Below are 22,990 nucleotides of genomic sequence, written 5' to 3'. Positions count from 1 at the left end.
ATGCAAAGATCCAGAGGCTTGGAAATGAAGGACATTACAAATGACCCTTGTGTGCAGTTGTCAAAGAAAATAAGGTCTTGGTTTTCCCTTAAATAAATGACCCTCATACATGACAGGAGACCATACCTCGCAAAAGCCCATTCTTTCACCATAGACATTGGTGACCTAGACCTAGACCTAGAACCATCAGGGTGGGAACAACTGGGTCTCTTTCTATGAAATCTGTGCCTCTTAAAGCACCATTAGTTTCCATAAAGCATGGTGCAAGGTGTCAATTCACAGCACCTTCCCTATGATATGGTTGATACAAGCCAGATACAATCTTGGGGGCTGGGGAGTCAGACACGATCTGTGCCCTCAAAGAGCTTACCTCTAGAGTGAGGATATAGTATACAGGTAAATGATTAATACATGAATACGGTAATTTCAGATACTCATAGTGTTACACAGAAAATAAAAGAGGATAATATAATAGAGAATGACAGGGCTCTTTTGACAGGTGGTCTGTATGTCTAAGGCTCACTCTTTTATGAACTCATGGACACATTTTACTTATTTATGGGGCTTTTTGTAGGCTCAGATACCTGGCAAAAGGAAATACACTCCTCTTCCCCCCCAGCACACAGATTAAATAAGATTTGGAATTCATCTTTGCCTCCCACAGTCCATAAGAAGATGTCCTTAGAATTCAGACTCAGTAGGGTAGACAAGGGAAACTTGGAAGGCAAAGGCTACAACAACTGAATGACCTGGCTTAAGGGATAAGAGTTCCATTTGGGTCACAAGCTGGGTAGAATTGGTGTAAGTGAAGCTACATCCATCCTTTCTGAGTCTTGACCAGAAAAAATTCAAGGCAAAATCCAATCAGAGACTTACAGCGCTGCCCAGCAGAGTGCAACTGTGATGTGTCCACTCCCAAGCCCTCTGAACGCTTGCAAGGCTCTCCTGACCCCCTGACATCTATGCCATCCATTGCTTCACAATTGCTGGTAACTGGTGATTGCAAGGATTTACCCTCATTGTATTGTGAGATTGCAGTAACCATATGGCTTGGATCGGAAAGATCCAAGAAAGACTTGGGTCCAAGTCCTGGCTTGAGCTCTTGTGGGATGTTATGCATGCTATGTTTTCTTAACCTTTAAGCCTCAGTCTCTTCATCAGTAAAATAAAAGTAATGCCTTCCTTATGGGGTGCTTTTTGAGTATTAGATGAAGAAATATACCTAAATCATTTAGCAAAGGACCTGACTCTCTGCAAAGAGCCTGGTACTTAACAGATATTAGCCAATCATCTCAAAGATTAAAGTGTATTAAAGGCAGCTTAAAAGTAAAGTGCCTCTTACTCTAACTTAATTCTTTATTAACTGGTCAACCACTTTCAGTATCCTTGGTTACAACCACTCAAGACCTCCAGGCTTCCTGATAATTAGGAGCCAGAAGCCTAATTATCCAATACATGGGCTCTCACTCTACATTACATGTGTTCTCTCTTGATAGAGAGGATAGATTGGAGAGAGATGAGAGAGAGAGAAAGAGAAAGAGAGACTTTATAAAACACCATTCTAAGGAGGATCCTGCCTCAAGTGTCCTAACCCATATAACCAAAGTGGGTTCCACTGGGACCATGCCTTATTCATCTTTGTGTCCCCAGTGTCTGCCATTTAGTATGGTGTACAATAAATGTTAACTTGGTTTAGTGGGAAGAACATTAGGTTGAAGGTCTAGTGACCTGGAGTTTTAATATCAGGCTTCTTACTGATAAGCTGTGAGTACTTACAGAAGTCACTTTACCTTCAGAGGCCTCGTTTACTTTATCAGACAAGAACAGAGTTGGATTTGAATATCTCTAAGTCCCAGCCAACCCATCCCTCTGCCTCTAGAAGAAGGCTACATATCTTTCTCACTTACGCTACAAACACTCAAGGAATCCGTGTGACTCTCTCCTACCTGCAGAGAAATGGCATTTCACTCTGGTGTCAAGGTGGTTATGGTATAATGAATGCGTCAGACAGGGTGGACTAGCCAGTAAAAAGAAACAATTGGCAAAACACAAAAGAAAGTGTTACCAGCATCCTGCTCTCAGAATACACCAAATAAACGCCTTTCAGCACGCAGATATGAGAACCTGCCCCATCGAAGCTGGAGGGAAAGAGTGGTTTCAATTAAGAGAAATGCAGCAGCTACTGATTCCCTTAGAGAGAAGCCTCCTAAATTGCTACACACTGTCCCAGTGATCCCTGCAATAAATTTCAGCATCTTGGGCCAATTTGAACCATTCTTCAGTTCTGAGACAATCCTCACCTGAGGAGCTGCTGAGTGGCCCCCAACTGAAAAATGAATGGGAAGCTGGGAGGCATCCCCCACCTGGCACCTTGATCTTTGATGGCCTTGGAGGCCCCATTGCCCCTGGGGAGAGTGAGGAGAGGAAAGTTTCCACCACCTCCTTTCCTGAAGATGCCTCCCAAGAGTTCTCAATTGTTTTGAGCTCCTCAATTCTCAAGGAGCCAGAAAAATCCAGTTTCTTAGGAAAAGGAGACACCTTGAACTTTCAAGGCTCCATTCTAGGGACAGAAGAACAGGATTAATCCCATGAAGCTGAATGGGAACTTGCAGTGTAGTGTTAAAAGGGAGAAGGAGCTCTGAATTGAATTCCAGCCCCACCATATAAAAGCTGAGACATCTCAGGCAGGTTACGTCCGCTTTATGAGCCTCAGTTTCTCTGCCTGTAAACTGGCTCTGATGAAATTCAGCCATTCATTTATTCAGTTGTCATTTGCTGCCTCTCTCAAAGAGAAGTTGATGGGAGTTAGAGAATAAATATACAAAAAGCACCAGTAGAGAGTCTGGATCATAACAGATAGTTAATAAATGTCCGTTTTTTTTCCCTTCTCCTACAGGAAGATGAAACCTTGGATGACTGGCCCCAGTCTTCCCCGCTGCAAAGGGGTCTCATAGTTTCTAATTTATGATGTGTTTGCACCATGAAAAAATCATCTGCACTTTGATAATCTGCTCTTTCATCTCAAACAACAGTCCAAAATCACACTCTAATGAAATTAAAAGCAGATGAGAAACCGACACACATGTAAATACTCCTATTAAAAGGTGCAAAAGCCTTACTCACTTCTGAGGTGTGGCTGGGAGTGGCCAGATCTTGTTTTCTTTAGAGGACAGCAGAACTAAGCAGCTAAAGGCAATTAAAGGTATTTTTGGAGATGAGAGAATTGATTAAAAACGATGGACACACTTTATGCACTCAGAAGCTGGCACCTCATTGGCAACCAAGAAATTCCAAGCTTGCGCTTCTAGGGAGGAAGTGGACTCTGGGAAACTCCAAACTTCTCAGAATGAAAAGGAAGCTACTCTGTTAAACTGCCTCTGGAAAGAGCCCTTCTGTTCTCTGGCCTCAGAGAACAGCACTGTAAGGAAACAATTGCAATGGGAGAGGGAGGAAAACACCATTTCTTCCTCCAGCCCCACCACCCACTGCCAGGACAGAAGGCAGGAAGAGGCTGATCCTGCTGAGACAAGCAGCCTTGGGGATTGACTGTAATTGTGCAAGTAAAGACAGGACCTGGAGTGCGTTTCCCAGTTCACTTTCACCAGCTACAGCAATAATCCTGCTTCCCGGAACATTCCATGCTGCTTCATTTGCTCAGCAACAGTTGTTCCAGGAAGCCTGTATGCACATAGTGTCAGCTTGCTGGTGTGCCCGCCCTGCCAAATTCAATGAGAGTTTATTGGCTAATGTTTTTCCCAGAAATGGGATGAAAATCTTCCAGAGGCAGCTGGAATCATTTTCAAGTGCAGCAGGAACACAGTTGGGGCAAATGGTGAATGGAGAGGCCCCAAGTGTAATCATCACAATGACCTTAATTATGACTGTTGAATGCTTACTCCATGCCAGTCGTTCTATCAAGGGTTTCAAGTCTGTGATCGCGTCAGTCCTTACACAACTCTAAGCCATAGGTATATTACAACTCTATTTTAGAGAAGAGAAAATTGAGGCTCAGAAAAGTTAAGTAAACTGCTTAAGGCCACATAATTGGTGACTGGCAGAACTGGAACCCAACTCTATCTCTGCAATTCATACGGCTTTCTAAGCACCCAGCACACCAGAAGCAAACTCCCCAATGCGTCCTTGACAGCCCAGAGACTCAATTATGTGGGCTGGAGTAAACCTTCTCAATTCCGGCCTTTGGAAGAAGATAGGAAAGCTGGTTCTGAGAGACCCTGGTCCCTGCTGGCCTATTTGAAAAGGATCTTATTTCTGAGTGTCTCCCAGGGCTCTGGGAAGCTACTTTTGGAGAAGAAACCAGATGAGTTTTCCAGAGTTTTTAACAACGCAAACAATGCAGAATACAAAAGTGGCTGTTGACTTTAGCCTTCCAAACAATACAAAGAACAGGAAGCTCAAACAGATAATCGGGCTCCTTTCCTATATCATCAGAAACTATGCGGAAGGAAGCCTGGGGATGATCTGATGAGGCTTGTTTCAGAGGCGAGAGAGCTGCCCTAAACACGTCCCAGAGGGGAGCCACACCGAGCACTCCCCTCAGCCCCAGCAAGAAGTAGCCTGGAGTATCCATGTCTTGCTTCCCCAGCCCTTGCCCCAACAGTCCTGTCTCTAGAGGAAAAATGTTTCCTCCTTATCCCTCACACTTATCCTGAGTGGGCAGATGTTGCATGTGTTCAGCTTCCCTTGGGGTGATGCCCTTGCAGGAAACTGTGGAAGAGATGATTTCTTAGATGATGCCAGCCAAGGAAGCAGGTACAGGGACTGGGGTGGCTCACAGCTATGAGGAGGAAGGAGGGAGTGAGAGAAGATGTGGCCTGTGTATTGACTCTCCTCTGCTTTTCAAGCACTTGTCTCTTATTCCAATAGAAACAGATAGGTTAAAAGATGATAGATATAGATAGATGATAGATATAAATAGATAAAGATAGAGACAATTAAGAGATAGAGATAGATATATGGCAGATAGATGATAGATATAAATAGATAAAGATAGAGATAATTAATAGATAGAGATAGATATATGACAGATAGATGATAGATGGAACATAGAATACAGACAGATGATAGATAGATAGATAGATAGATAGATAGATAGATAGATAGATAGACAGACAGACAGATAGATGGATAGATGATAGACAAGGTTTTTTAAGAAGTTGAGTTTGGAACTCACAGGATGCATCCACCATGGTAAGTCACAATCCCATCAAAATCACCCCAATACTGAAGTGGATATGGGGACTTCAAAAAGGAGAATCCAAATTCAGTGTCTCCATGTGCTGGGCACTGTGCTAGGAAAAGATCCAGGCATTGAATAAAGCAGACAAGGTCACTGTCTCGATAGAGGTTATGGACCAATAGAGTAGACAGGCTATTTCTTTTCCTAATTTTTAATAGAGACAGGGTCTGGCTCCATCACCCAGGCTGGAGTGCAGTAGCACAATCTTAGCTCAGTGTAACCTCAAACTCCTGGGCCCAAGCACTCCTCCCACCTCAGCCTCCTGAGCAGCTGGGACTACAGGTGCATGCCACCATGCACAGCCAATTAAAAATATATTTTTGTAGAGACAGGGTCTCACTATGTTGCCCAGCAACCTCTGCAAACCTCTGCTGTCAAAGTAAGTCTTTTGCCTCAGGCTCCCAAAGTGCTGAATTACAGGCATGAGCCACTGACAGACATTAAACAAGTTGACAACACAGCATGATAAATGTAACAGACACATGAGGTGTAGTTGGAGCCAAGCTCAGTGGAAAGGGAAGCCTTTTTTCTCAAGTCCTGTGCTGTCCCCAAAGGAGATCTGTCTCTCTAAGGAAATGTCACTGCAGCTGAGAACTGAAGGATGGATTAGGAACCAGCCGGCCAGTCTAATGCTCAACAAGGCTCATGATCAGGAAATTCACCCTCAAAAGAAACATACACCATTTTGGTTTAGAATCAAATGGTTTAGAATCCATTTCCTTTAGATCGTTCATCATTAGATACTGAAAAGAACCGGCACCCTTCCTGCCTAAGACACAATCACATCCTTCAGGTCCATTTTTAAACATCTCTGGATGCAGTCATCACAAATCCTTTAACTATATTTAGGTGATAAAAAAGGAATGGGAAACAAAATCCTGAAGACTTCCTCCCATGATGTTGGATTCATGAGCTAACTGTGTGGAGGCAGGGGACTGGCTCAGAAAACCCTCCTGTTCATTTTTGGGTTCATTAAAAAGTTGAGATGCTAGACCCTTAAGCTTTGGACTCAAACTATTAGGAAGGACTTTTTCCTGCCTATGAAAGAGCAATTTTTAATATAAAATCCAATAGTCAATTCCAGACCCCTTGAAAGTAAATCAGGTATATTGGGAGCAAATGATGTCCATGGTGACATGGACATCAGCTCTGGGGTAGAAACTAGAATTCAAATCCTGAATTTGCACTAATTAGCTGTGATCTTGACCTTTCATAACCTTGCAGAAGTCATTAAACTTTCATCCCATACAGGAGGCCAGTAATGCCAACCACGATGTTAATATGAGGGCTGCTTTAGATAATGGAACCGAAAACACTTCACACACATTAATGCACTCTAAGAGTGCAGTAGAAAAGGGAAGACGGCCATTTCCCTTGAGGGTCATCATCTCATAATTTAGAGAAAGAAATGCTCATTCAGGTTCGTAGGAATTCTTTTTTAATGGATGACTCTAGAGCAGCGGTCCTCATGCATGGTGTAGCTCCAACAGTGCTGAGATGGGTTGCAAGTAATGAGTTTCTAATAATAAAGTACTCAAGTGTGCAGAAGACTGGCTATTTCTTGTAAATTATAACAGATTTAAGATTATTCCCTGATATAATTCTCTTTTGTAGAAGACAGGAAAGGATAAAGTTTTAGGTATTATCATTGAGTATAAGCCACAGACCATCTAAACCTCAAACTGCAGTGTGTCCCCCATGTGAGCTCTACCCATGAGGCATGTCTTTTCAGAAAAAGGTTGAGGGTGTGGCACAGAGGCACAAAAACTTAGCTTTGCCTTCTTTCCTTAGCCCAAATAGTCTCAAACCACAACTCTAGCAGGTAAATGGACTCCCTTACTCATTGTAGCCCACATTGTTACCAATGCAAAAAAAGTTATTCTATTCTACCTGAAGTGCAATTTTATTCAGAAACCCTGAATTTGTGCTTCAGGACAGGTGAGACCTCAAATCCCAGCTCCAGTGGGTGGATCATGATTGGTCTAAGTCAAGCACTGTGGTCCAAGCTCTTCTTGCCAGTGATTGGTTAGGTGTGGGCATGTGACCCCATTCATCCAATGAGAAATAAGGAGAGGTCAATTAAGGACTTCCCAAAAAGCCGCTCCTCCAATTTTAGAAGAGATGTTTGTGAATATACACTCTTTCTTCTGCTGCTAAATATTGATTTTTTTTTTCCTAGGATGCCTGGAACTGTGGGATTTAGTTTAGGAACATGAGGGGTGCTAAATTGCAGGAAGACACTGGGAGTGGCAGAATTGAAAGTTGGAAAAATAAACCTGAGTCTTGATAATATCATTGACTTCCTGGAATCATCCCAGACTTCTTGCCCTGGGAGGTAATATTTTATGAGAGCTGATTGTTCTGTTACTTACAGAAATATTCAGCTGGTATGTACAGATAGGGATATACCAAAATATACACAACAGATAACAATCACACGAGACACATGATGGTTTGATGCATAGATGGGTTGTAGCTTAAGTTCAATCATGATACCTATAACTCCATCTCTGTCTCTCCTGCCCAATAAAGCCAATTTGAGTAAAAGTGAGTGAGAAAGATGTTATCATCGTCATTGAGAGAATAAACTTTATTCTCATTTACAAGACATAGTTGTTTACAACCAAGCATTTGAATTAGCTAGTGCCTATACTCTACTAATTTTTAAATATTTCTATTATGACATGTACTTGCATCTGAAGGCATCTTAAATGATGTTTTTGTTTTTGTTTTGTCAGCACAACTATCTCGCTGTTCTGAAAAAGTCTACTCTTGTCTCCAAGAAGTCACCAGAAGCAAGGAGCTAAAGGACTGAGGCCCTAGGAGCCAAATGGTTGTACATTCGTATCCCAGAGTTTGTCCTATTCCTCCTGCCTGACCCCAAAAGAGGCACCTGTATGACCTTGAAAGACACCCTGTAAACCATCCCCTAAATGTACACTAATAAAACCCTAGGCCCAAGCTTCAGCCACAAGATCAAGGAACTTTCAACGAAATGGATAAGATTTGTCTCTAAACCAATGCTTGACACTCAAGATCCCTAAGTAAATTATGAATTTTCCCCAGTAGCTTAAAATAACTTCTATACCATATGACACTTTTTGCTTCTCCAGAATTTTTGTTTCCCTTCTCCCCAAATGTGTGCTTCTAAAATCCTGAGTCAGCTTAGAGGTTCTCATGATTTTCTTCCCACCACTATTACAGGGCAGACATGATAAACCACTTGCTTTCAGAATTTTGAGGAGTAAAATTTTTTTTCTTGCTTTCTTACTCAGAAGACCCAATGGTGAGACAGTGAGAGGGCTGGTACAGCTCTGAGAAGTCTGACAACAAGGGTCCTCAAGGAATTGTGGGGATCCTGGAGACATGGTTACTGCTATTCATCCAACAGGTCCTGGGAGGCTTTCCCTGGTGCTTTAAATCAGATGAGATCTCCCTATTATGCTCTCACAAGATCCAGTGCTTCTCCTTCATAGCACTTACCACAAGTGTAATTAAACAAAGGCATCATTAGTTGTTTACTGTCTGTCTTCCAGATAGACTGTAAGTTCCAGGAGAGAGGAGACTATGCCTCTCTTGTCTACAGTGGTATCCCCAGTGCCTAGCAGAGCACAGATATTGGTGTTCAACTAGTATGCGTTGAGTGAACAATTGAATAATTTGAAAACCATTGATTGTTGACTCAACTCACAAAATTGCTCAGAGAGTCTGGGCAAGTCAAAGGTCAGGTTGCTGTGGGCCTTATGGTTTCCAAATGCTCATTAAGTCAAAAAGGATAAAAAAATACCAAATATGGGTGTGCAAGACTGTGCACAGGGAACCAGTTCCAAGCACAGTGAGGGCTCCAGTGCAGTGTAAACACCTACGCCATTTCCCACTGTGCCACTAAAAAATCCATTACCCTATTATCTTCTTCTCATTTTGTACTCCAAGTCTTCTTGTCCTGATCAGATCATTGTCTTCTTGTTTAGTTAGTGTCCTCTCCTTTATCGTCTCAAAGGATAAAATGAAAGGAAACCGGACAAGTCAGAAGACCACGGTTTTGCCACCAATTAGTTTTGTGACCTTGGGAAAGTCACTTGCAGCCCTTGAGGCTTCCTTATCTTTCCAATCAAACAAGTTGGCTACATAATTCCTAACACCCTTTCCCATTCTGACATGCCCTGTTATCAGACCACGATAACTTCCTTTCTCTTTTTCTCCTCTTCTCCCTCTTTGAACACATATTTTGGTGTTGCTGCATGGGCCCAGCTCAGTTTATACCTTCTAAGCTGTCCCGTCAGCACTAGCAAAGCATCTGATGATTATCCCATTCCCACCTCTAGCCCTTTATTGAGTTATCCCAGCAAGGGCACTGAGAGCTGGCACTGAGAGCAAGGGCAGGCTGAATGCATTTGCAAGCCTTAGGAAGTGGCACAACCAAGAAGCCTGAGCCAATACTGGGCCCACCTAGATAAGGAGGGAATGGCAGCTTGGAGGAGACTGCTGAGCATTCCAAAGAATACAGTTTCAATGATTGGGGTCAACCAGCAACAGGAGACATAGATAGAGGCGAAAGTTATCCTAGGTAATAATAGGACCTTGTAGTTTTATATCACGTGTTTCTGCCTACTAGCACAAAACACTTTCACACCAGCAGGCAAAGGTGGAGAGGTCTAGGGGAGGCAGAGGGATTATTATCCCCAAATGGTTCACACAGTATATTGAACCATTAGACAGATAAAGCCAATAGCCCAAGGTCAAACAATTAGGCTTTCACAGGGTGGGAATTAGAGCAGAGTGTCCTAATCTTACCCAGGGGCTATTTCTGGTAGACTTTTGATGGAGCCTTTTGTTTATACCTTGGTTCTATCTTATCTTACCTGCCCAGGTAGCTAGCCTACTTTTTCCCTTGGGGATGAGTAGTGGGAAACTTGAGTGGCCCAGAGTGAGCCAGCTGGCCAGCCTGAGCTCAAAATCCAACCTTCTTGACTTGGATGCTCTAAGCAGGACTTAGTGAGGCCAGCTCATGGAATGTGGCTGCTGTTTGCATTTGGGAGGCACAGAAGAGCTTCCAGTGGCAGCTGAGAATGCAGAGGCTCCAGGGCTGATAAAAGTTGTAATTAACATGCACATACCACCCTTTCATCTTCAAAAGCTTTCCTCGCATTAGCTAGTTATTCCTCCTGTCGCCACCACGGGTGAGGCATCACTTTTGTCTTCTCAGTTTGCAGTTGAAGAAACTGATGGGAAGAAGGGACCCTTTGCCAGGAAGTCTGGCCCTTGTTCAAACACAGGAAATATCTGGCTCCCAGCATCTAACTTCATGTGGGTAAATGGGAAGACAGAATGGGAGTGAATCCTAACAAAAGGCTCAAGTGACTAACCTCTGCCCTCTGGGCAAGAGACTGCTTTTTTACTGTTCTAGAAGGAGATAGAGTCTATAGTATGGCTAGCTGGACAGATTCTAGAATGGCTAAACTCCCAGAGGACTATACACACAACTCTCAGAAACATTAACAAAGAAAGCCTGCTGCTCCACTACGGTGATGTCCATGTGATGCATGGGGGTCAAATCCTTCATATTGTGCCCATAGCAGACATCACTAATGGATCACAGCACTCTCCATACCTGAGCCAAGGTTTGACTTCTTAGTACAGCATTTTGGGAAGCCTCTAGGAGTCAATGGGAAATGTTCCTTGAGCTAAAATCTATTTGCTATTGCCACAGTAGGTCTTGTTTGGGATTCACTTAAATTGCCACTCTCTAACCCAGGCAAAGTTGCCAAAGTTCTTTCTCACTGTTGGAGCTGGCCTGCTTCTGAACTCTGTCTAGCACTGTCTGAGAGGGTGATTCATGAGAACTTCTGAGTTTCTGGGGCAGAAAAATTGGATCTTCTGCCAGTGGACAGTGCCACTGTTACTTGATTGCCTGGAATCTGTCCGACCTCATCTCTCACTGTTCTTTTCATGAATTCTCTTATCCAAGCAGACAGACCCCTCCCCTGGCCCCAATCAAGCCATTCTTATTCCCCCACTTTAAACACCTGGCTCATGTTTTGCCTTTCCCTGGGTTTCTCTCCTCTCCCCTCTCTCTGTCTATCTTCTTTTCCACATTCAACTCATCCTCAAATTCCTTGAAGCCTTCACATGCAATCGAGATGTCTGTTTTTCCTGTCTTCTGACACTTGGTTATGCTCTCTTGCATAATTCTTTCACCTGTTTAACTTTATTTCCACCAAATGGTAAGCTCCCTGAGGACAGAAACTAGGTCTTCCACTTTCCTCATTTCTGTCCACAGTGCCAATACATTTTAAGGAAATTTTAAGTTGGTCAGTTTGTCACCATCTTATAACTGGGGAGACAGAGGCAACCAACAGGGGAAGGACCTTGCCCACAGTCACCCTGTGACTGAGAGGGAGAAGCTCTCCTGGCTATGAGTGGGTTCTCACTTCTCCTAGAATACTGTGTCTGTATGATTAGCTGGAGAGACAGATGACTGAACCGTATCAGCAATAACTGAGGGCATTGCACAGGATGTGAGATCTGAGCACATCTGGGATTTTATTTCAGCTAATGGTCAGTGGATTCCAGATGGGTATAAAGTCAGCACAACCAAAAGGAGCTGTGATCTGACGAAGGACATTCAGTGACTGACAGAATGCCAAAAACTAGCCTTATATTATAGCCTCTGACACATTTTGACAAAATCCTAAGTCGTGCAATCTTTATGATTTCCATTTTTCTTTCTTTTTCCTGAGCAAGAGTTTCTCTGGTTTTATGATGAAAAGAAATTTTTACTGGGGGTCTGGAGGACTCTCAGTAGAAGCAGAAATTCACCATCTCTCAGGCCTGCCTTGCTCAGTGCCTTGATTTGGGGAAAGATTATATATAATCTTTTGTTTGGTCTAGCTTTTTTTCCCCTAGATTCTCAGGCTACCCTAGTTGCATAGGATACTAGCACTCACCCTGTAAGTACTGCTTTGTCTGAATATTGTGGTTAATTTTGTGCCAACAAGTTACAGGGGTTGCTTGAGGAAAGCTGGCAAGTCCAAGGTGCTCATGAAGCTCTGAGAGTGAAGGGAACAATTTTTCTCTTCTTCAGAGGTTGGCTTTTCTGGCCATGTGAAGCAATGTTTTTAAAGTACAATATAAAGAGTACAGTGTTCAGATCCTGCAGTTAATCCCAGGACTGACTTCCTGCAGTTTCAGTTGTGTGACTGGGACATGTTCCTAACTTCTCTGGCCAGAGCTGCTTCATCTGCTCACCTTCCACATGGTCTAGAGGATTCTATGAAGTACTACGGGCAAAGCACTTTGTCCCTACAACACTCTTGCCCATTGGAGTTAGAGTGTAATTGGGTCCATATGTTTATTTCTGGCATGGATTAATAATTCACTTTTGACATTTAATACAAATCAGGCATCAATTTTTTTTGACACTGCCTTATGGTGGTTTTGTGTTATTCTTTCCATTAGGTTTTATGAGGCTCAGGTGTTAGTAAGCCCACAGAGTGGTGAATTTATAGAACATGAGGCCTGGAAAGGACTTGACAGATCAACTAGAATCCAACCCTCGCATTTTACACATGGAAAAATAGAAGTAAATGGGGGTGAAATACTTTGCCTAGCAGCACATAGTGAATCAGTAATAGAGAGAAGCTAAAATATAATAATCATTTCTATTCTTGGGATACCTTCTGTGAACTAAACATTAAGCTTTAGAAATTACGTGCTAAGTATTGTTCCAGACATTTAACAAGTGCAACTGCCCAAGCTCACGCTGCTGTTAAGTGGCAAGAGGGGAATCAACTGGTGTATGGGTCCTCCCGTCTTGTTCCACTGCCTTTATACCTTCTAAATGACTCTTATCAAAGCCAGACCTCCTCATCTTCATTACACCACACCAAGCATCTGATTATATGGAGGTGATTTTTAGTCTGGGAGGTTTTCAAACCATTGACCGAAAGAAACAACTGCCCTTTTATTCCTCTAGCATGGTGACCAAAAAGCCAACAATTTTTCTCTGAGTATTGTTGAGAACATGATTTTAAGGTTTGGGGTCTTTTTATACATGAGGCCAGATTTGGAAGTAAAGGTGTAGACAAAGAGGCAGCCAGACCTATAGGAAATCCAGATCCCCGTTCTACTGGACAAAATACAATTAGCTCTAAACTTCCCCTGCCTTGTGTAACATTTCAAACCTCAAGAAAGATCTCTTTAGACTGAAGAGAGTGCAGAGAACAGAAATTTCAAGGGAGGAGGCGGGTTGAGGATCGCTACAAGTAGCAATAGAGAAAAATGAAAGAAGATTTGTATAGACCAGAAAGAAAAAAAATGAAGAAAAAGAATTAGACAGAACCTATAAAAATCACAAAAGATAAGTAACGGAGATGGCTTTGCTAGCCAAGTCTAGAAACATTATTAATTCAGTAAGCCATCCAAGTGTTTATTGAGCACCCACTATAATTGGGGAACTGTGCTGACCGCTCAGGGCTATCATGAATATGAAAATGTATAGAGGGTTTGGGCTTTTCCCTAAGGAGCTTTTATGCTCACTGGCAAAAGAAAAGAGATAACCATTACATGGCATCCTTTAAACTTTCTCTTTTTAAATGGAGATGTGTTTGTGAGGTTTTTATGAATTTTCAGGGGGAACAATAGGAGAAAGCAAGTCACTTAAGGGAGTCTACAGGAATGTACCTGACCTCTAATGATATTGTAAAGACAACTAGTCTCACTGCAGAGGATCCACTGCAAAAACAAACTCCTTGACAGGAGATTTCTTCCCCGAACTTTTATCCCCTCTTGTGGGTTACCTGAATTCCCCTCCCCCTCTTGCAGGCAGATGTGGGCCCAGTAACTCACTGGTGGCTGCGGAGCTGACGTCAGCTGGTTTCCTGCAAGATGGTGCTTAGTTAGCTCTGTTAGATTCTGGTTTTTTGACTGGATACTCAGCAGAGGCAACATCTGTGATTGGCATGTAGTAGCTACTCATTTAAAGTGTGCAAAGACTAGAGCTGGGGGCTTGGGCAGAAATGCCCTTCTAAGCCAAACGCAGGAGACCAGGTGTTGGCTGCATGGAATTGTTCATTTCTCCCTGGCACCTTTTTTTTTTTTGAGACCGAGTTTCGCTCTTGTTGCCCAGGCTGGAGTGCAATGGCGTGATCTTGGCTCACTGCAACCTCTGCCTCCCGGGTTCAAGTGATTCTCCTGCCTCAGCCTCCCAAGTAGCTGAGATTACAGGCATGCACCACCATGCCCGGCTAATTTTTTTGTATTTTTAGTAGAGACGGGGTTTCTCCATGTTGGTCAGGCTGGTCTCGAACTCCCGACCTCAGGTCATCCGCCTGCCTCGGCCTCCCAAAGTGCTGGGATTACAGGTGTGAGCCACCTTTCCCAGCCCTCTCCCTGGCATCTTAATGTGCATAATAGTGAACACTTGCAAAGGGGCTTTACTGTTATCGTGCTACTATCTTGGAAAGGAAGTGGAAAAAGATGCTGCCTAGTTCCACGATTGGTGTGTGGATCCTCCTAGAAGTCACTGCAGACCTGTTAAGTGTAAAGAGATGCACTAAAATTGAAAAAAAAAAAAGTTGGGGGAAGGGGGCTGGAATATGGGATGAGTCCTCATTCCCAGGAAAAGGCCTGCATCCCTTCCTGTGGACTGAGCCAGATGTTCCCAGGGGGCCTTGCCTCCTCCCTTCCTGGGTGGCTTTTTTCTCAGTGAGGGGTACCCAGAGGAAACTCTCTTGCTCCCTGATGGGATGGTCACATGCTGGGCCAAATAGAAGCCTGGTCATCTGGTTTAGGCTAGGGCTGGAGAGAAGGGCTATAGTATACTTCCAGCTTTTGCCAAATTCCTTGTGCCCTGGATATGTACAGCCCTACTCCTGACAGCCTCTTTTCTCAGAGTTTCTCTCCCTCCCTCATCCATTCTAGCCGGTGGAGAGAAGACCCTGGAACCAAGGGCCTGTAAGGTGAGGGCAAATATTTTGCTGCTATTTGATTGGCTCATTTCCCAGTCAAAGTTCTAGCTGATGGAGAAACACTAATCAGCCACCTTTACCTTTCATCCAGGTGACAAATAATGAAGTGATAATGAACAAACAACTCAATTCACATCCCTTTCAGCCCTATCCTATCCTAATGAACAAACAACTCAATTCACATCCCTCTCAGCCCTACCCTATCCTCAACTTTCCATCACATGGAAGAGAGTAGAGCTTCTATTCAGAGATCAGAATGAATGAGTCAACTCAGAATATGCATTGGCAGAAGTTTCCATTACAACTTCCTCCTCCTTCATTTTTGCAATTCTAACCCCTTCCTCTGACATCATGTTTAAAAGCTCAGTGGATGTTATGACCTCACCCACAACTAGATTCCCAAATGAAGTTTTTGAAAACAACTACAGTACTTCCAGGTACAATCGTCTGGATTTCTAGGGTGCCTCGATATCTTAATATACCAAGAGAAGCACTCTAACATAGTGACAAAGAGCATGAACTCTGTAGCCAGATGTGAGTTTGAATCCCAGCGCCATCACTTATCAGCTGCATGGCCTTGGGCAAGCTACTTAAATTCTCTGTGCCTCAGTTTCCTCATATGTAAAAGACAGATAATAACAGCACCACCTTCATGAAGTCAGTGTTTGGATTAAACAAGGCAGTATATAGGAAACAATTAGAATGGCGCTGGTACATGGTCAACACTCTGTAAGTGTTTGCTATTATTACTAATAGTGGTGAGGGTTCTCAGAAACATAGAACTTGTGCAAAGATGCAAACAGAAAAAGCGTAAGAGCTCTCAAAAACAAATGAACTTTCAGGCACTGCGAAGGAGACTTGCAATGCCACAACAGCAGATGCTCAAAATGACTGGTCTATGTGAATAATCTCTTCCCTCAACCCCGGAGTTTTGCAATTAACCTTTACTTTTAAAAGCTGAAGACCTGAAAGTTTCTGGGACCTGAGTTTTGCAAATCACCTCCTTGGTGACTCAGTCCCTCCCCACCCACCTGAGATCTGTCTGCCCACACTTGCACTTCGCAGGGACACTTACCTCAGGAGGACACACCCAGGCAGCCAGTGCAACTCAAACTCGGGGAGATCTGGCTCTGTGAGTTTCCATCGTTCCCCACCCCCACAAGACCCACCCCCTCATTCTGTGTTTGTCTCCCTGTCTCTCAGGTCTAGCTGGGCAGACAATCTTTGGGAAGACAAAACCTGCCCCAGTTATGGGTAATTTCTGACATCACAAGCTCTGTGGAGAGGAGACACCGTTTGCCATTGCCAAAGTGGCTCCCCGTCGGATGTCAGGATTCCCTACGGATTTGCCCCCGAAGAAGCTATGGTAGTATCTGGTCAGATGACAGCTTGATAATTGCCCAAAGAGACCGACAGAGAAGGCAAGAATCTCCCGCATCTCCCATATAGTACTTCTACTTCTCTCCTCTGCCACCACCTTCCAGAAGCAGACATGGGGGTTGGAGGAGTGTGGGCCTCTCACCCAAGGATCTCAACCTCGTATCAGTATCTCCAAAATAACTAGAACCCCAAGGTGGCTGCTGCTGGGGAGTGTTTTTGTTTTGAGGCTTAAATTTGGGGTTGGTGTCCTCATCTCACTGGCTCCCACTCCCTTCTCAGCCCAACTATCTAGTAACCCTGTCTTTAGCCAGATGTCCCCAGCGGTCACAGCAGGCAGCCACCAAAGCCGCAAACAAACAGATGGGTGAGCTCACTGTTTGGGGTAGACCAAACATGAGGCCTGTGGTGGGCAGTCAGCCAGCCAAGTCAGCCCTGTCCTGAGCAACACAGCCATCACCATGGTTCTCACTTACACATAAATGTATTTGCACCTTAGCCCATACTGACAGCATGCTTCCATATATATAGATATCATGACTTTTATATTCTAGACATTCATTGCAGTTCAACAGTTATGGGTCAATATTACTGGGATCTGGGCCCACAAAAATGAATGTGACATGATCCCTGTTATCAGGGGACTCCCCCAGTGCTGCAGAAGACAGGAGAAGATACATTGGAATTTGTTTTGTTGTGGTTATTTTCCCCTTTAAGGGGCATGAAAGTCTTTAGCATTCTTTGGCATCACCAATTCCCACCACACACATAGATCCTTCAGGCATGTACTTATAGGCATACCTGCAATGTGCATATGTCCACATCCAGCAAACAAGAATCAAACATGTGGCTTATCTTGGTACGTCACCCAGTGGGGCAATTGAGCAATGGAGAGGGGAGGAATATGAAATACTTACCTCCAAAGTACACATGTCCTGAATCAAACATTAATTTAATTGACACCATCCTAGTTAAGGAGTTGTAAAGATGTGAATTTCTTTATGCAAAAAGCATTTTTAAAAAGTGTTTGACTTTCAATTACATTAAGTCATGTATTTATTTGTGGAAAAATATATAAACATTTAGTCAAAATATGCACTAGACATCAATTGGTAGAGTGTTTGCATATTTGAGATCCTGACTCTCCCAGAAAATCTGGAACGCACAATGACTGTATCCATGCCTGGCCAGACTCCAGAACCACAAACTTTAGAAAGCACCCCTTCCGGTTTACTCTGGCAAGTTGGGCTTGCCTCGCAAACCCAGTTGGGCAGCTGTGGGGGGTACACTTAAAAAAAATTCAACCTGCTAAGTGAGTGAAAAGTGGGATTCAAATTTAAGGTAGAAGGTATCAACCTACCCTGCCATTCTAAAGAACGCCTACAACCTTCCCATTAAAGCAGGGACACAAAGGAAATTGAGTCATCGGTTTCTTGCTGTGCAAACCCCAGAATTTCTCTCTGAGGCAGAAAAAGATCCCCTTTGAAAACTACACGGTGCCTGGTAGCATCTGCCACCTGCTTCAGCTCATTCTTTCGCAAGAACCACTTCCCTTTCAGGCTCTTCGGTGGAGTGACCTAAAGCGAAGGTGCCGGGGAAGCACAATTGCAGTTACTCTCTTATCCCCAGCCCCAGCCCCAGCCAGGAGGCAGTGCTGAGGAGGCCCAGGTGATCTCCAACCACCTCCTCTCCATCAGGGGACCCCAGCCTTGAAGCATCTGACACTGCAGGTGGATCCGAAACCTCACTTGGGTGGCCACATGTCACCTAGAGCCACACACTGGGTTTCAGTTCAAGACCCATGTCAGCCTCCTACCCAGGGTCGCACAACCTACTAATGAGCATGTGAGGAGTGGGTCTCTGGGTCTGTGCATGTGAAATGCTTGCCTGGTCAGAGTGAGAGCTCCTGTAATGCTGCTTTCCTAATATTCAGGCAGAGGGCATTGCCCTAACTTGTCCTGTAGACAAGCAACCACCTCTCTCTTTATTCCAAGCCTGTAAATCAGAGCATATCTGGGAGGGCAGCTGGACTCTGATAAGGGATGTGATTTATTTTAGTTACAAATAACTTGGTTGGCATCTCTGATATCTGTGGCCAAACCTGGGGAGAGACAGGCCAGGGCAGGGCAGCCAAGAGTCCACAGCCTGCCGGGGATGGAGAGAGAAGCCACCCATGCAAGAGTTCACTTATGCTGGCCACAGGGGACAGGTAGTGTGGGAGAGCCACGTATAGCTTCCAAAGTCCTCCAGACACGTAATGAATTGAAGGAGCATAAGCATTGGAGTCTAACATGGGAGGATGTTAGATAATGCGGAAATCCCAACTCCACCACTGGATCCTGGGGCAAGTCATGCCATCTCCACAAGTCTCGATCTCTTTATCTAGAAAATGGAGTTAAAGAGAGTGCTAGGTGTATTGGGCTGTTGGGAGGCTTAGATAAGATATCCTGTGCTACCCCCGGCTTCACATCTAGTATAGAGTCAGTGCTCACTGAGCAGTATTTCCTAGAGACTCAGGACTTAGGACCCTGCTTTACACAGGACCATATGGTACCACAGCAGAGCATCAGGTTTTTAAAACTTTGGTGCTCCTGACCATCTAGCGATGTTCCAGGAGGTGCTAGAAGCCCCAGGACAATACAGAGAATCATTGTCGAACACCAACATTGCTATATGGTCAAAAATATATATCATTATTATTGTATTAAACTCAAATTGGGTATATTGTAGAGTAATATATAAAACTGTAATGAGTCTGTAAGGTAGTATTTAAGGTGTGAAACAAATGTTGTTACCCCAGTAGACCACACCCTCCCCACCCACTGCAGGGGGTGGGGTTGAGGCTCCCACAGTCCTCATGATAGAGATACATGAGAGAAATGCCCTGCCCTAATATCTTAACAAGTCGCAGAGAGGGGAAGTCACTAGTCCCTCTCTTTCAGATTTTCTAAATGATCCTTAGAGTTCCCATCTCTGAGTCTATGACAATGAGTCAGGAAATAGTTCCTGAATGAATGGAAGGGAATCTGTCATGAACTAAGAATTTCATGCTGTCCAGCATCCCCTCCTTTGTGGGGAAATTTGGGAAAAAACAAATGGAACATTTTCCTACTGGCTGCCAGCCTCCCACACAAGGACTTGTCACCATGCCTTTGCAGCAAGTAGATGTCCAATGTGTAAATGGGGAATACCTGAATTAGTTGATGCTAGCCCCAACAGAGATGAAGCTTTGCCTCTTTGCTCCTTCACATGGGAAAACACAGCTAAAGTTCTAACTCCCAGCAGGGGGCGGAGTCTCTAATGCTCAATTAGAGAGAAGGGAGCAGAAAGGTGTGTGCCAGCCCTAAGACCCAGGGCTCTCAGACGCTCTCCTCTTTCTCAACACCAGGCATGCAATTCCCAAGCAAAGATCCCCTCACCCAGTCTATCATTGTTGGACATTTGGGTTGGTTCCAAGTCTTTGCTATTGTGAATAATGCCACAATAAACATACATGTGCATGTGTCTTTATAGCAGCATGATTTGTAGTCCTTTGGGTATATACCCAGTAATGGGATGGCTGGGTCAAATGGTATTTCTAGTTCTAGATCCCTGAGGAATCGCCACACTGACTTCCACAATGGTTGAACCCTAAAACTTAAAGTATAATAATAATTAAAAAAAAAGATCCCCTCACCCACAGAGACAAGGAGATGCATGTGCATGAAGGACTCATCCCCCCTGGCCTCCACCAAGGGCCACTTTCTTCCTCCTGCACAAGACCCCGAATTCAAGATATCTGTTCCCCAACTCAGAGTTTCTGGGTCCAATGTCACTTAACTACATTTGGCCATTTCTCCACTTTTTGCTTTCCCATACAAAGACTGGACTCCTCCTCAAAGCCTTGCTCCTTTCCAAAGTTTCCTCGTGGTTGTCCAGAGTCCACCACTCCCCAGAATGGGGCAACAAGAGCTCCTTTCCTTCCCCTTTCCTCCTTCTCCCCTTCGCCACCCACACCATGCCCAGCCCCAAGCCCTCTGACAAAGTCATGTCTCCTTTCCAAGTCCCAGTTCCTGCCAAACAACTTTACAAGCACATGAAAGCGAGGGCCGGGGCAGTTATTGCTACTGGCACTTCATTGTACTTCCTCTAAATGATGCTGCGCAAAGGGGCCGTGGAAACACGGGGCAGGAGGGAGACTGCGGGTCTCTGGGAGAACCTCAAGGGTTAGGACAGTGCCAAATATTTGGAAGTGGGGCCTTTTAGAAGGAACGGGGAGACAGGTTGGAAGGAGTCAGGAGTCAGAATGCCCAAAGACAAAGCAGAAGATGGCACTGGTAGGTAACATACAAATAAACTTCCCTAGAGACTATAGGGAAACCACCAGGGCCCTCTTCTTTCAGGCCAGGCCCAGGGCTCTCCCTGATCTCCAGCTTGACTCTTCTCTCCCATCCTGAATGTTTCCACTTTTCAAGGGCTTATTTGAGCTCCAGTCCCTTTTGGAACTTTCCCTAAGGCCTAGAGTCCACCAAAATCCTTCCCTCCCTGAAATCCTTCCAAGTTCGTCCATCTTATACAGTCTAACATATTCTAAGCCTAGGCTTTGGAGCTCAGTGGAGCTGGGTTTCCATCCAGCACTGCTCCTGGCTATGTGAATGCCAGCAAGTCACTTAACGTCTCTAAGCATCAGTTTTCCTCCTGTCAAACAGGCCTGATAACAGGAAGCTTCTTACTAGGCCATTGTGAGGGTAGAATGAGATAACACATGGAAAATATTTAACATAATGCCTGGCACAGTGAAAATATACAGTAAATGGTAGCTAGCACTGTATTCATTTTTTTTTTTTTAACAGAGTCACGCTTTGTCACCCAGGCTGGAGTGCAATGGCATAATCTTGGTTCACTGCAACCTTCACCTCCTAGGTTCAAGCAATTCTCCTGCCTCAGCGTCCCAAGCAGCTGGGACTACAGGTGTGCACCACCACACCCTGCTAATTTTTGTATTTTTTGTAAAGATGGGGTTTCACCATGTTGGCCAAGGCTGGTCTCAAACTCCTGACCTTGGGTAATTTGCTGCCTCAGCCTCCCAAAGTCCTAGGATTACAGGCATGGGCCACCATGACAGGCTGTGTTGTTGCTATCATTATTATTATTATTTCAGCTTCAGTAGTATAAATCCTAGATCCCCAAATCCCCACCTAGCAAAGACCTCTCACTCACACAGAAAGGGAGATGCATATGCACAGAGAACTCATCCTGCCTAGCCTCCACCTAGGGTCACTTTCTTCCTACTGCAGAAAGTAGGAAGATAGAGAAAGCAGAAAGTAATTCAAGATACTTTATACTGGGTACTCAATCTAAACTACCTGGGTGAGACTGTGTGTTTCAATTTCTCAGTACTCCCGTGGAACTGGGTTAATAAATATTTGCTGAGTAGAATTTACTGCATGCAGGCTGAGCTGTCTTAATGACCCAGCTGGCACTTCTTAAAAGAAAGATTAATTTTGGCCAGCGATAAGCAAATCGGCCATGTAATTATCTGTACATACATAGACAAAGAAAGAGAATGCTTGGAGTTGAGCCGTGCTAGAATATACCTTACACGCAGCCCCTCCCCTCCATAGCCACCACAAAGCACTGACCCTGTTTGGATGAGATATTGGAGCCCTAGCTCCAGGGTCCCTGATGTTGCCCTGGTATCAAGGCTCTTCTCTCTGCTCTGAGGCTGCCAGGCAGGGAATATAAGCCACCTTACTGTTGAGATTTCCCCACACTGATTGGCAGAAGCAGGAGGTGGTGAGGACCAAGCAGCTGGTCCAGTGGTTGCCTCTCATATTCATGCTCCCTATCCCAGGCTGGAATCTCATGGAGACCCAAGACCTCACCGCAGAGCTGGTTCAAGCTTCCACAGCGCTAAGGTGGCAGTGACACTGCGGACTGTAAGCTTTGGAACAAGGCTCAGTGGGGAGCTGGGAGAACCCAGGACCCCTTTCTGGAAAACCCATTGCCAGCTAGTCTCACACTTGGAATTGTGATCCCTTCTGTGACCACCTTGATAACAGCCACTCGCCCTGTTCCAGCCCCAGTCTCTGCCCCGCCCAGCTCTGCCCTGCCTAGACACAGCCCGGTGGGGCTTGGCGAGCCCTTGGGCACAGGAGCCTGTTAGTCCAGACAACGACTGTGCGCATCCGGGAGAACGGTTACTTTCTGCCATGTGCTGCAGCTCTAGCGACCTCGCCCAAAACTGCGCGCCGGCAGCCTGCCCAACAAACTTTCTTCTCTTTCTCTTTTTCTTTCAACCAAATGGTGCTTCCACAGACACATTCTCCAACGGTTTAGCGCAAATCCCAGCCCTGCTTTCCGGAGCCCAATGCACTTCGCAGACAGCTCACTTGACTCCAGTCCCCCA

The 22,990-nt window shown here is 44.6% G+C and overlaps 1 protein-coding gene across 44 annotated transcripts in view, besides 5 other annotated features; it reads right to left on the bottom strand.

Moving 5' to 3' along the window:
• CD44 (CD44 molecule (IN blood group)) overlaps positions 1 to 22,990 on the bottom strand; it is a 93,232-nt gene that overhangs the window by 69,955 nt on the left and 287 nt on the right. The window lies entirely within an intron of this gene.
• Positions 9,894 to 10,686: an enhancer, noted in NCBI's record as "OCT4-NANOG-H3K27ac hESC enhancer chr11:35173309-35174101 (GRCh37/hg19 assembly coordinates)". NCBI's record gives its function as "activates a minimal SCP1, AML or CMV promoter by ChIP-STARR-seq in primed H9 embryonic stem cells {active_cell/tissue: H9 hESC(primed)}" and the evidence as "EXISTENCE:reporter gene assay evidence [ECO:0000049][PMID:30033119]".
• Positions 10,707 to 10,937: a silencer, noted in NCBI's record as "fragment chr11:35173058-35173288 (GRCh37/hg19 assembly coordinates)". NCBI's record gives its function as "represses an EF-1alpha promoter that drives an FKBP-Casp9 reporter gene in an ReSE screen in phorbol 12-myristate 13-acetate-treated (for megakaryocytic differentiation) K562 erythroleukemia cells {active_cell/tissue: K562(+PMA)}" and the evidence as "EXISTENCE:reporter gene assay evidence [ECO:0000049][PMID:32094911]".
• Positions 17,878 to 17,937: an enhancer, noted in NCBI's record as "active region_4618". NCBI's record gives its function as "activates an Ori minimal core promoter by ATAC-STARR-seq in GM12878 lymphoblastoid cells {active_cell/tissue: GM12878}" and the evidence as "EXISTENCE:reporter gene assay evidence [ECO:0000049][PMID:35858748]".
• Positions 18,108 to 18,157: a silencer, noted in NCBI's record as "silent region_3256". NCBI's record gives its function as "represses an Ori minimal core promoter by ATAC-STARR-seq in GM12878 lymphoblastoid cells {active_cell/tissue: GM12878}" and the evidence as "EXISTENCE:reporter gene assay evidence [ECO:0000049][PMID:35858748]".
• Positions 21,880 to 22,380: an enhancer, noted in NCBI's record as "H3K27ac hESC enhancer chr11:35161615-35162115 (GRCh37/hg19 assembly coordinates)". NCBI's record gives its function as "activates a minimal SCP1, AML or CMV promoter by ChIP-STARR-seq in naive H9 embryonic stem cells {active_cell/tissue: H9 hESC(naive)}" and the evidence as "EXISTENCE:reporter gene assay evidence [ECO:0000049][PMID:30033119]".

The sequence above is a fragment of the Homo sapiens genome, chromosome 11 (genome assembly GCF_000001405.40).
Source record: "Homo sapiens chromosome 11, GRCh38.p14 Primary Assembly".
NCBI classification, from domain to species: Eukaryota; Metazoa; Chordata; class Mammalia; order Primates; family Hominidae; genus Homo; species Homo sapiens.
Note: the sequence above shows the minus strand (reverse complement) of the source record. Positions and strands in the feature narration are given on the sequence as shown.